Here is a 13,709-nt window from a genome sequence, read left to right as displayed (position 1 = left end):
AAGAGAATTACATATAGGAATCAAGAATTTCTAAATGTGGGGAATGTTTGGGTAGACCCGATATCTATAATAATTTTTTAAAGAACTTGTTTTCTAATGAAATTAAGATGCTTACTGTAGTGAAATAGTATATTTGTTATGAATTTGTCCTTTGGGTTTATACATGGTGAGAATCTTGACTGCTATTCTTTTGATACAATCTTGGGGCCAGTAAACTTAACTATTCTGCGCCTTTGTGTCCTCATTTAAAAATGATGATACCTGCTTGGGCGCGGTGGCTCATGCCTGTAATCCCAGCACTTTGGGAGGCCGAGGCGGGCAGATCACGAGGTCAAAAGATCAAGACCATCCTGGTCAACATGGTAAAACCCCATCTCTAACTGAAAATACAAAAATTAACTGGGCATGGTGGCATGTGCTTGTAGTCCCAGCTACTTGGTAGGCTGAGGGAGGAGAATCTCTTGAACCCAGGAGGTGGAGGTTGTAGTGAGCTGAGGTTGTGCCACTGCACTCCAGCCTGGTGACAGGGCGAGACTCCGTCTCAAAAAAAAAAGAGAGGCCGGGCGCGGTGGCTCACGCCTGTAATCCCAGCACTTTGGGAGGCCGAGGCGGGCGGATCACGAGGTCAGGAGATCGAGACCATCCCGGCTAAAACGGTGAAACCCCGTCTCTACTAAAAATACAAAAAAATTAGCCGGGCGTAGTGGCGGGCGCCTGTAGTCCCAGCTACTTGGGAGGCTGAGGCAGGAGAATGGCGTGAACCCGGGAGGCGGAGCTTGCAGTGAGCCGAGATCCCGCCACTGCACTCCAGCCTGGGCGACAGAGCGAGACTCCGTCTCAAAAAAAAAAAAAAAAAAAAAAAAAAAGAGAAAAGATGATAACCTATTTTTTGTAATGTGGTAAGAACTCAGTTAGCTGATATGTGAAAATGCTTAGTTGGTGCCTGGCATATAGAAAGTATAAATATTATATGCTATTATTATTACATGAAAATGATATTATTGTATACTAGGATTTTTCTGAGAGCATGAAAATAGTTGGGGGAATCACAGCTATATATATTTTTTGAACTTAAAATTTATCATAAACTTTTAATTCTATTTAAAATTTTCAAGTTAAAAACTGTTACTCCTTTTCTGAAGATTTTCTCCCTATATGTTTCCTTTTTTTTTTTTAAAAAAGTCTCCTTATCTATTCTTTTTAAGCATCTAGATTTCTCAGAAAGTAATTAGAGAAGGAATTAAACACAGAGCTAGGGGAGGAAAGTAGAATCATCAGAAATCTTTGTTGGTCCATAGCTGTAATCATTCATTATTTTAACAGGTAAAAAATATTTGTGATTATTCTCAGAATATTATATTTTTGGGATTATGATTATATTTGTCTTTGAAGTCTGCCTTTATCTCACAAAGCTTTGCTTTGGCTTTTAATACCAGGTCTTGCTTCATGACAGTGAATTATTCTCCAAAGGTCCTTAACAGTGAATGATGAGACTCACATGACTTATTTAGGTTATTCCCATAGGCTTGCAAATTTATACCTTATATCTAAATAAACTAGTCAGCAGGTTAACCTGGTGTCAGCACCGAGAAATCAAAGACCAGTGAAACACAGAGTGAATTATTGTCAAAATGACTAAAGATTTCACTTTCCAATACATTTCTACCTTTTGTTTTTCTTTGATGCTATTTCATTAGGTTTATCCGTTGTTTCTTTTAGCCCAGGCATTTACAATAGTAGTATATAGCATGAGCTCATTATGTGTTTGTTGAATGGATGAGTAAATTTGTAATATGAATTAGTGACCATCACAGAAAAATAGGAAAAATAGGAAAAGAAAGTTATTTAAAGTTGAGGTTTTGGCATTAGGTTTTAACTTTTAACTAGTAGTATTTTTTTTTTGAGACTTTTTTTTTACGGTGGTGAAATACACATATAAATTTACCATTTATATTATTGAAAGTGTACAATTCAGTGGCATTTAAGTACATTCACAGTGTTGTGCAACCATCGGCCACTATCTATTTTCAGAGCTTTTTCATCACCCCAAGCAGAAATTCTGTACCCGTTAAGCAATATCTCCCATATCCCCTTTCCTCAGCCTTAGGTAACTACTAATCTACTTTACCTATCTATAAATTTGCCTATTCTAGATATTTTATAAAAGTGGATTCATATTCCATTGCACTGGATTTTCATAGTAATTGGTAACTTATTGCCCTTGCCATTTTTACTTTCACCTCAGAGGTAATTGTTTAAACTTAATTGTTTGCCATTAGAAAGACTTGGTTACCTTGTGGACTGAGGTGATTTTCTAATCATTGTTAACAGGCATCAAGTTCATTGACTAGGCCTGTCACTTAAGAGCAGTTGTACATTTACAGTTTTTAGTTATTCTCATAGTGTTCTACTCCTGAAGCAGCAAAAACTAGCAAATACTTACTGCACTGGCACATACAGATGAATGGGATAATGTCTGTCCTAGCGAACAGCCTATTGCCATACTGCCTAGGAAACTGTGTATATGTGCGTGTGTGTGTGTGTATGTGTATGTGTATATGATCCTCTGCTGTATTATTTCCAGAGTGTCTCTGATGATCTTCCAACTAATTTCAGTCAAAAGTACTCTAAAATTTTCTCTCTGCCATAGATTACTGTGACAAATATGTATGAATAAATGATTATCATCTATACTTCCAATTCTACTTACCACTTGTTATATTTTCCACAAAGAACATTTCTCTGGAAGTTTATACATAATGTAACCTTAGCTTTGCTGAAGTTGTATGTGAATTAGTTTATCTGCATCGAAGTAATCTTTCTTCTGCATATAGATTCTTAATAATATATTATTTTGTATTTATTTCAATAGGAACAACTTTTCAGCCTAATAGCAACTCTTATGTAAATCCTGATCACTTGAACTATTTTCGGTTTGCTGGGCAGATCTTGGGATTAGCGTTGAACCACAGGCAGCTGGTCAATATTTACTTCACACGATCCTTCTACAAGCACATTCTTGGTATGGCTCTATTATTATTTCTGCAGACATTTATTTATATTGTTTTTTTTTCAGTTTGAGGAAAACTAGATAAGCAGTAGTATTTTGGATGAGATAATTTTTATTTTGATTGGAGCCCATCTGTATATGTAAGCCATTCGGGGTTTGAAGGAGAAAAAAATGACCTACCTTTTTTTTTTCCAAACACCTCTAGTTAAGTTAGCCTTTTTTTTTTTTTTTCAATTTTTGTGTGTGTATTTTTATGCTAAGAATACATTTCAGTGTGAGTATACTTAAGATAATTGGCATTTTTGAAGTTTATAATAACTTCCTGAATAGTTATTTCAAAGAAAGATTACATTGTAACAATGTGAAAGAAACACAGAATTAATTTAACAGACTTTCAAATTCAGGAATCCATTTAAAATATGCTGTGTGTAGGATTGTATTATATTTTGCAGTTTTTCAGAATATCTGTAGAGGGCAGTATTTTACCATTAAATAGATAAGGGAAGGCAAAACCAGACTATAACTGCTGTATGTTTGCATTTTTTAGGTATTCCTGTAAATTACCAAGATGTGGCATCCATTGATCCAGAATATGCGAAAAATTTGCAATGGATTTTAGATAATGATATAAGTGATCTGGGTCTAGAACTAACTTTTTCTGTTGAGACTGATGTGTTTGGAGCAATGGAAGAGGTGCCTTTGAAACCTGGGGGTGGGAGTATTCTTGTGACACAAAATAATAAAGTGAGTATTTCAGTTTTTACCTTAACCATTGTTTGTAACTTGGCCCTGATAGTTTGCTAGTTACTCTAAATTCTTCTGGCACTTGTAGAAAAACTTTTACTATTACAGTATCATAGCAGATAAAACGTTTAAGTTAATAAAACAATCAAATGTTAAATTTTGAATTAGAAAGGATTATTTTGATAATTGTGCTAGCTGTGCTGAGTTGGTTCCTAAAAAATCGAGAGCACTTCAGCTGATAGTATAAATTGGGCATATGCATTTTGAGAAATTTGATTAGAAATATAAGCTTAAATGAAGATATTTGCAAAAATTGCTCTTTCATGTTTTTAAAGTGTAATATTAAAGAATTCTAATAGAGAAAAGAAATGCCAGTGTTTAAGCTTTCCACATACTTTTGGGATCCAGTAAGTTTGTTCGACCTTTTGATATTTTTTTGACTGTATAACTTGATTATTTATTTATTTATTTATTGAGACGAAGTCTCACTCTGTCACCCAGGCTGGAGCGCAGTGGTATGATCTCGGCTCACTGCAACCTCTGCCTCCTGGGTTCGAGCAATTCTCCTGCCTTGGCCTCCTCAGTAGCTGGGATTACAGGGGTGCGCCACCATGCCCAGATAATTTTTGTATTTTTAGTAGAGACGGGGTTTCACCATGTTGGCCAGGATGGTCTCAAACTCCTGACCTCAGGTGATCTGTCTGCCTCGGCCTCCCAAAGTGCTGGGATTACAGGTATGAGCCACCACTCTCGGCCTTATTTTTATTTATTATTACCTCTCCTCTATATGTATTATTTAAAAATCTTTGCATATGTTTTAAATTTCACTGTTCAAAGTCATAATATGACTTTAAGATTTAATATGGCTTGGTGTTTTAATATGTTATATGAGGTATTTGGAGTTAGAAAATATCATATGAATTCTAGTTCTGTTGCTTACAAGTAGCAGCTTCTGGTTGAACAATACTAAACTGCCCCCCTCCCTTTTTGTTTAGCTGAATTATAATTCCAAGACATCTTCAGAATCAATTTAACTATAAGAAACAATGTTCACTGAGCCATTTTTTAAACTATAGATTTAGTAAAATGTGGATTATTTTAAAAAGGGTTATGTTTAACAATTCTTCGAACTCAGTTTTCTGTAGAATTGGAATAATAATACCTCCCATACAGAATTGTTATTAGCATTTTGTAAAATGAAAAGCACAGCACAAAAGTTAGTTGTATTGGGTAGTTTTCTATAAAAATAGGTTCTTAGTTTCAGATATATAAAGGGAATTGGAAACTTATTAGCAAGCGACATAATTTTACCTTTTGAAACTTAAGATACTATAGTGTACAAAAAAAAGAGATTGAATTCTTGGAAATAAAGTCAGGAGTTGAGTTCTTACATATTCATACTTAGAAATTTTAAATTCTACCCTCTCATTTTACATGAAATGACACTAATCCTAAAGAGTTAATGGCAAAACTGGGGCCAAAACCCAAGCCTCCTAATTTCAAGTCTAATGTTCTTCATACTATATGCAAAATTAATTGTGTCGAGGAAGAACTTACTTGATTTTTAATGTAAGTCATGTTAAGCTCTAGAAGATTATAATAGTTAAACACTTAATTTTTAAACCTATATGATTTGCCAGTGAGTGAAAATATTTTTAGAATCTTTTTTTAGATTGTTCACCTTGTAGCATGTTTATTATTTTATTTTACACTGGAGGCCTACCCTCAATTAAGGGTAATGAAGTCATAGAATCTTTATTAAGCAATGATTGCCTTTGATAAGAGAACCATAAACATGATTCTTATCTGTGAATACTATATCTGGTGAGGTTTGTCACTCCTTTCAGATATATATGACAAAGTGGAAAGATCTAGTAACAATTGTATTCCAGTGCTTTGGGAGACTAAGGCAGGGGGATTGCTTGAGGCCAGGAGTTCGAGACAAGCCTGGGCAACATAGTGAGACCTCATCTCTATAAAAAATAAAAAAATTAGCCAGGCCTAGTTTTGTGTGGCTACAGTCCTAGCTATTCTGGAGGCTGAGGTGGGAGGATCACTTGAGCTCTGGAGGTTGAGGCTACAGTGAGCCAAGATGACATTACTGCCCTCTAGCCTGAGTGACAGAGCAAGATCCTATCACTTAAAAAAGAAAAAAAAATGTGTATGAGGTATATCTATATTTATGCTTGCATCTCCTAGCAGCACCCCCCCTTACTATGACATGATTTTTGTTTAGATTTTTAAAATATTATTAATTTTTTTGTATTTGTGTATTTTAATGAAATCTAGAAAGATGGAAAATATTGAATAAATAAGAATAAGTAAGAATATGCTCACATTGAGGATATACCCTTCATTGTGCATCTCACCAGAGGTGGGAATACTATTTTAATATTAAAGAGCTTGAAACTTTTGTTTCTCAGTTTAATACTATATATATTTACATTTTGTTTAATTGCTTGGTTGATTAGAGGCTAACTTTTTTAAGTAATTAGGAGTGTTAATAGCAGGGTCTTGATTATTAATGTTATACATTCTCAGCTTTCATTTTTTTTATATAAACATTTCTCACAATAAATTGAGCCTTTTTTTTCTAATGTTACCAGTATAGTAATTGTGTATCAAATTGTTGAGGTTTCAACATATAATGCTTATTTAATAAATAACCTGATTCATATAAAACTCTTAAAAATCTTTAGAAACACATCACATTTTACCTTGCTTAAAATTGTTAAGATATTCAGTTTACAAAATGTTACTTTAAAATTTTCAAACCCTGTTTCTTGGAAATACTATTGATTTTTGGTTTGTTCTTTTTTTTTGCTTATACATTCTGTTATGAACTTTTCTGTTACTTTAGAGTCAGCTTTTTACTTTATAGGTAGAAAGTTTTTTTGTCATGTTTAGAGTTCGACTTTATAATTTTGAACTATTGAAACTTAAATGACTTGCTAAACTTGTTAGAGGGCCTTTGTAAACTGATCTCCACATGGGGGAGTCCCTTATTCCCAAGTTTTATTAAAAGGCTTTGGTGATTATAAAGTGAAACCAAATAGATGAAAATACCTTTAATTTAAAAAGCAATATGTTAAATAAATACAAGCAATATAGGCAGATGTATATATATTAGTTCCACATTTGAAATATAATACTCTTAAATTAGTTAGATATGGCCTCTTTTGCTCATATTTTCAGTTCTAGCATTTAGAATTGAAGCTGTAGGGGTTTAAATGTTAGCATCACTTTTATAATATTAGTCATAAAGTTCATCCAGGCTTGGAGAAAAAAAAGAAGATAAGAGTAAGATGGGGCAGGTATCAGGGAATGGATGAAGTGGTATGGAAGTTGAATTATAGAGGTGAAGCATTAAGTGGTCGAGTAGGAGTAAGGATGGGAAGAAGGAAATGTTCTGGGCTTACAGGAAGGCACAGAGGTGACAGAGCATGCTTTGGGAAACCACAAGTAGATCAGAGTTGTGGAGCTTAGCTTAGATGGAAAAGTAAGCAAGTAGAAAAAGATGATGTGGGGAAGGGAGAAAGTGGCCAAATTCTGAAAGACTTTGCATCCACAAATAGTACTTTGAAAATTATTCTGAAGTCTGTGGAGATGATTGCAGATGTTAAAGAGGGAAATGACATGATCAAATTTCAGTTAAGAAAACAAAAAGAAACAACCAAACTCAGCTTGGAGTGTGAAAAATGGGTTGAAATGGGGCGGTACTAGAGTCAGGACAACTGAGAGGAGGCTGTGGCATTTTGGTTTGGGGAAGCATGCATGAAGAATTATGTAAGGCAAGTGGCAGTGAAGATGGAGAAAATGGAATAGCTTTTAAGCTTTTGAGGATAATAGAATTTATAGAACTTGGTAATTGGGAAGATGAGAAAGAGGAAGGACTCAAGGATAACTGCCACTGTTGTGGATTGGGCCACCTAATGTCTGATAGTGTTGCCATCATACTCTTCATCAACCTCATTATCATTAATTCTGTTTTTTAGTGATAATAATTACTACTTATTGAGTGCTTTGTGTTTCATGTATCTGAACCATGTTCTTTATGTTTCTCATTTCCTGTAACAGCCTCTTGAGATAGCTATTTCTCTTTATTTAGTGTGGAAACAGCCTTAATATTAAAACATTTGACATTTATTAGGTTTTTATAATGTGCTAGGCACTGTTTGATGTGCCTTATGGGTATTATACTTAACTCTGTGAGGTGGAGATACCCCTTTCTACAGGTGAGGAAACAGAAGCATATAGGAGCTAAGTAGCTTTCTCCATGCAGTCTGTAAATTTCAAGCCTGCTTGTGCAGGGGCCATCCAGTCTTCTCTGTATGGTTCCAATATTAGTATACGTGCTGCTGAGACAAGCACTTGAGCCTGCTTGTAACTACAACACTGCATTTCTTTAGACGTTAAATAACTGCCCGAGGGCACAAAACTTGTAACTGATGTTTTCTTATTTTAAATGGATGTCTATAAGACAGTGTAACTGCTAGGCTTCTCATTTACTAAGGCAGTGAATGTGAACAAAGTAGCAAATACAAATTTAGTATGTTTTAACGATTTCATTTTAATATGGTTTTATTGCTAGTCTTATATGATTAAATTTTTAGTGCTAGCTTTGCATGATTTATTTAACATACACATTTAATGCACATACAAGCACAAAATACAGACTTTTATCCATAGATTATTGACTTAAAGTGGATTCTTTATATGCATCTTTAGAAAAGTATACAGGTTGAGCATCCATAATTCAGAGTACCCCAGAGTCTGAAACTTTTCGAGTACTGACATGAAGCCATAAGTGGTAAATCCCATACCTGATCTCATATGACCAGGGGGCACTCAGAACACAAGCATACAACATACAGTTGTTTCAGCATCCCCAAAGGAAAAAAGACCCTCCCAGCCCCCTTCTGCTGCATATATATTTTTTCTTCAACACACCAAGATTCCATCATGCAAGCATGCCCACAAGGGTAATAAATGACATGTGCAGGACGCATATGCCAAGAGCAGGTTCCCCACTGTGCCCCACGTGGGGCCAAGGCCGATGTGCATTTGTGCATTACTCATGTCTTTTCTTTTCTTTTGCTTATTTTCTGCTCTGTGGTGCAGAGGTATTGTTGGGAATGTCAAAAAGGCCTGCAGATACCCCTGTGGGTAACAGTGACAGGGAAAAGAGGGAGCATTTGTCTTTATCCGTAGCACAGAAAGTCAAGCTGTTGGAGAAACTGGACAGCAATATAAATGTGAAATGTCCTACAGAAGAGTATGGTGTTGGAATGACCACACTATATAACTTGAAGAAACAAAAGAATAAACTGTTGACGTTCTGTGCCAAAACTGATGAAAAGAAGTTAATGAAAAATAGAATAACACTGCATAAAGCTAAAACTGAAGATCTCAATTGTGTATTTAAAGAGTGGATTTGTCAGCCTAACAGTGAACACTTGCCACTTAATGGTATGCCGATCATAAACAAGCAAAGATCTATCATAATGAAGTGAAAATTGAAGGGAACTCTGACTTTTCAACAGGCTGGTTGCAGAAATTTAAGAAGAGACATGATATTCATTTTTTAAAGATTTGTGGCAATAGAGCATCTGCTGATCACAAAACAGTGGTGAAATTCAGTGAGGAATTTGCCAAGGTCATTGCTGATGAAAATCTGATGCTAGAACAAGTCTATATTGCTGTTAAAATATCACTATTTTGTTGTTGTTGCCTCAGAAAGACACTGACTACAGCTGATGAGACAGCCCCTGTGGTAGGCTACCAAGGACAGAATAAATGTGCAGGGATGTCCTAGTGCAACAGGCAAGTGTAAGTGTAAATTTGCCATGATAGGCAAAAGCCTGTGTTCTCAATCTCTTCAAGGAGTGAATTTCTTACCAGTCCATTATTATGCTAGCAAAAAGGCATGGATCACCAGGGAAAATATTTTATACCAGTGGCTTGTGTTTACTGCATGGTGACTGCAAGACTTTGTTATTCCCTAACAACTGCTCTGCTCATCATCCAGCTGAAATTCTCATCAAAAATAATGTGTTTGCCATGTATTTTCCCTCAAATGTGACTTCATTAATTCAGCCATGTGACTGAATTAATCAGTCACATTAGATCAGTGAAGAATAAATATAACACTTTGTTGCATAGACTGCTAGCATCAGTGAACAGAATTGTAATTGTGGAAGGTTTTCAAAGGGAGTTTAATATGAAGGATGTTGTGTATGCTGTTGCCAGTGCTTGGAACACAGTGAGTAAAGACACAATTGTGCATGCCTGGCACAACCTCTGGCCTGCAACTATGTTCAGTGATGGTGACGAGCAAATGTGTGACTTTGAAGGATTCTGTATGTCAAGTGAAAGAAATGATGTTTGACTGCCTTACATATGCAAAAAAATATACCTTCAGAGTTTGTTAGTGAACTGAAAGAAGTGGATATTGAAAAGGTCTGTAACACTGGTTATAAGGCTCCAATTGCTCATTCATTGATGATGAAGTAGCCAAAATGGTTCTGAGTGTAGGTGATGGTGATAATAGTGATGATGAAGATAACATTAAAACTGAAGAAGAAGTGCCTATAGATGACATGGTGAAAATATGGCATTCACAACAGAACAAGAAATCATGTTAGTTTATAAAATCAAAGAGAGATTTCTAAGGCAAACACCATTGTTAATGAGGCAGATAACCCTGGAGGAAACATTTAAAAATCCATCCAGCAGAATGACTCCTCATTCCTAGAAGACCCACTTGCTGTCCTCTCAACTGCTTCTTCTCACCTTAAAACATAAAATAATGTACAGGCCGGGCATAGTGGCTCACACCTGTAATCCCAGCACTTTGGGAGGCCGAGGTGAGTGGATCACCTGAGGTCAGGAGTTTCAGACCAGTCTGGCCAATATGGTGAAACCCCGTCTCTACTAAAAATACAAAAATTAGCTGGGCATGGTAGTGCGTGCCTGTAATCCCAGCTACTTGGGAGGCTGAGGCAGGAGAATTGCTTGAACCTGGGAAGTGGAGGTTGCAGTGAACCAAGATCACAGTGCCACTGCACTCCAGCCTGAGCAACAGAGTGAGACTCTGTCTCACAAAAAATAAAAAGTGTGCAGTACTTTTTTTTTGTTTGTTTGTTTGAGATAAAATCTTGCTCTGTCACCCAGGCTGGAGTGCAGTGGTGGGATCTCGGCCCACTACAACCTTTGCCTCTCAGGTTCAAGCAGTTCTGCCTTAGCCTCTCAAGTAGTTAGGATTACAGGCGCCTACCACCACACCTGGCTAATTTTTGTATTTTTAGTAGGAATGAGGTTTCACCATGTTGGCCAGGCTGGTCTCGATATCCTGACCCCAAGTGATCTGCCCACCTCGGCCTCCCAAAGTGCTGGGATTATAGGCGTGAGCCACTGAGCCTGGCCTACAGTACCTTTTAATCAAAACAAAGCATTCCAGATGGAAACAGAAAGCCTGCTGTTTGTTGCTTCTGTTTAACAGCTGGCACAGATATTCTGGTGATGCCTCTGTGCTGCTGTAGCTACCCTGAACATGTGATTTTTTTCACTGTATTAATGGTATGCCCCTTTTTTTTTTTTAACCATTAAGTAGTTAGGTGTAAGTGTAAGAAAATGGTTGCTTATTGGTAACATGTAAATTTGGTCAGGAATAATGGTGATGTCAAACAACCACAGATTGTGTCTACACGGGTGGCTGAGATAGTGATCCCTTTACTTTCTGATGGTTCAATGAAACAAATTCATGTTGAGACTTGGGTGTCATTGCCAAGATAACTCATTTTGTATATACAGATATTCCAAAATCTAAAACACTTTGAAATTTGAAACGCTTCTGGTCCCAAGCATTTTGGATAAGGGATACTCAATCTGTACTATGAGATTTGTTTTTTTACTACTCTGAAAACTTTTAAAACAGGTAGTGTAAGTCTACAGTTTTTTCATGTTGAGTATACGTGTGTGTTATTAGGTGGGTTTGAATGATCTTTTTGGTATCTTCCTGTCAACAATGAAAACATGAAAACACACTTCTCCTTGCATTTTAGATAGTATATTCTAGAAATTAACTTTAAAAATTACCAAACCTATAAAATGGTAACCTGAATGACCAGTATTTTCTTTTTATTTGCTGGGAAATTTGTTTATTTCTTATTTGACTGATTCTTTTTTTTTTTTTTTTTTTTTTGAGATGGAGTCTTACTCTGTTGCCCAGGCTCGAGTTCAGTGGCGCGATCTCAGCTCACTGCAAGCTCCACCTCCCAGGTTCACACCATTTTCCTGCCTCAGCCTCCCGAGTAGCTGGGACTACAGGTGTCCACCATCATGCCAGGCTAATTTTTTGTACTTTTAGTAGAGACGGGGTTTCACTGTGTTAGCCAGGATGGTCTCGATCTCCTGACCTCGTGATCTGCCTGCCTCGGCCTCCCAAAGTGCTAGGATTACAGGTGTGAGCTACCGCGCCCGGCCTTTTTTTAAAATTATACTTTAAGTTCTGGGTTACATGTGCAGAATGTGTGGGTTTGTTACATAGGTATACACGTGCCATGGTGGTTTGTGGCACCCATGAAACCGTCAGCTACATTAGGTATTTCTCCTAATGTTATCCCTCCTCTAGCCCCCCACCCTCAGCAGGCCCTGGTGCGTGATGTTCCCCTCCTTGTGTCCATGTGTTTCTCATTGTTCAACTCTCACTTGTGAGTGAGAACATGCAGTGTTTGGTTTTCTGTCCTTGTGATAGTTTGCTGAGAATGATGGTTTCCCACTTCATCCATGTCCCTGCAAAGGACATGAACTCACCATTTTTTATGGCTGCATAGTATTTCATGGTGTATATGTGCCACATTTCCTTAATCCAGTCTATCATTGATGGACATTTGGGTTGGTTCCAAGTCTTTGCTATTGTGAACAGTGCTGCAGTAAACATACGTGTGCGTGTGTCTTTATAGTAGCGTGATTTATAATCCTTTGGGTATATACCCAGTAATGGGATCACTGGGTCAAATGGTATTTCTAGTTCTAGATCCTTGAGGAATCGCCACACTGTCTTCCACAATGGTTGAACTAATTTACACTCCCACCAACAGTGTAAAAGTGTTCCTCTTTCTCCACAACCTCTCCAGCATCTGTTGTTTCCTGACTTTTTAATGATCGCCATTCTAAATGGTGTGAGACAGTATCTTATTGTGGTTTTGATTTGCATTTCTCTAATGACCAGTGATGATGAGCATTTTTTCATGTGTCTGTTGGGTGCATAAATGTCTTCTTTTGAGAAGTGTCTGTTCATATCCTTTGCCCATTTTTTGATGGGGTTGTTTGTTTTTTTCTTGTAAATTTGTTTAAGTTCTTTGTAGATTCTGGATATTAACCCTTTGTCAGATGGATAGATTGCAGAAATTTTCTCCCATTCTGTAGGCTGCCTGTTCACTCTGATGATAGTTTCTTTTGCTGTACAGAAGCTCTTTAGTTTAATTAGATCCCATTTGTCAATTTTGTCTTTTGTTGCCATTGCTTTTGGTGTTTTAGACATGAAGTCTTTGCCCATGCCTATGTCCTGAATGGTATTGCCCAGGTTTTCTTGCAGGATTTTTATGGTCCTAGGTCTTACGTTTAAGTCTTTCATCCGTCTTGAGTTGATTTTTGTATAAAGTATAAGGAAGGGGTCCAGTTTCAGTTTTCTGCATATGGCTAGCCAGTTTTCCCAAAACCATTTATTTAAAAAGGAATCTTTTCCCTATTGCTTATGTGTGTCGGATTTGTCAAAGAGCAGATGGTGGTAGATGTGTGGTGTTACTTCTGAGGGCTCTGTTCTGTTCCATTGTTCTATATATCGTTTTGGTACCAGTACCATTCTGTTTTGGTTACTGTAGCCTTGTAGTATAGTTTGAAGTCTGGTAGCATGATGCCTCCAGCTTTGTTCTTCTTGCCCAGGATTGTCATG

General features: G+C 36.8%; 1 protein-coding gene and 1 pseudogene across 18 annotated transcripts in view; one reads left to right on the top strand and one right to left on the bottom strand.

Moving 5' to 3' along the window:
* HACE1 (HECT domain and ankyrin repeat containing E3 ubiquitin protein ligase 1) overlaps positions 1 to 13,709 on the top strand; it is a 131,826-nt gene that overhangs the window by 84,973 nt on the left and 33,144 nt on the right. For all 18 annotated transcript variants that reach the window (NR_146787.2, NR_146789.2, NR_146790.2 and 15 more), the window contains 2 exons: positions 2,873 to 3,022; positions 3,558 to 3,754. Coding sequence is in view for 11 of the 18 variants with exons in the window: in NM_001350555.2 (NP_001337484.1) it covers positions 2,873 to 3,022; positions 3,558 to 3,754 (347 nt within the window). In the remaining 7 variants the exon portion in view is untranslated. The remainder of the gene's footprint in view (positions 1 to 2,872; positions 3,023 to 3,557; positions 3,755 to 13,709) is intronic.
* RNU6-897P (RNA, U6 small nuclear 897, pseudogene) lies at positions 8,021 to 8,125 on the bottom strand (annotated as a pseudogene).

Source organism: Homo sapiens, chromosome 6 (assembly GCF_000001405.40).
Source record: "Homo sapiens chromosome 6, GRCh38.p14 Primary Assembly".
NCBI classification, from domain to species: Eukaryota; Metazoa; Chordata; class Mammalia; order Primates; family Hominidae; genus Homo; species Homo sapiens.
Note: the sequence above shows the minus strand (reverse complement) of the source record. Positions and strands in the feature narration are given on the sequence as shown.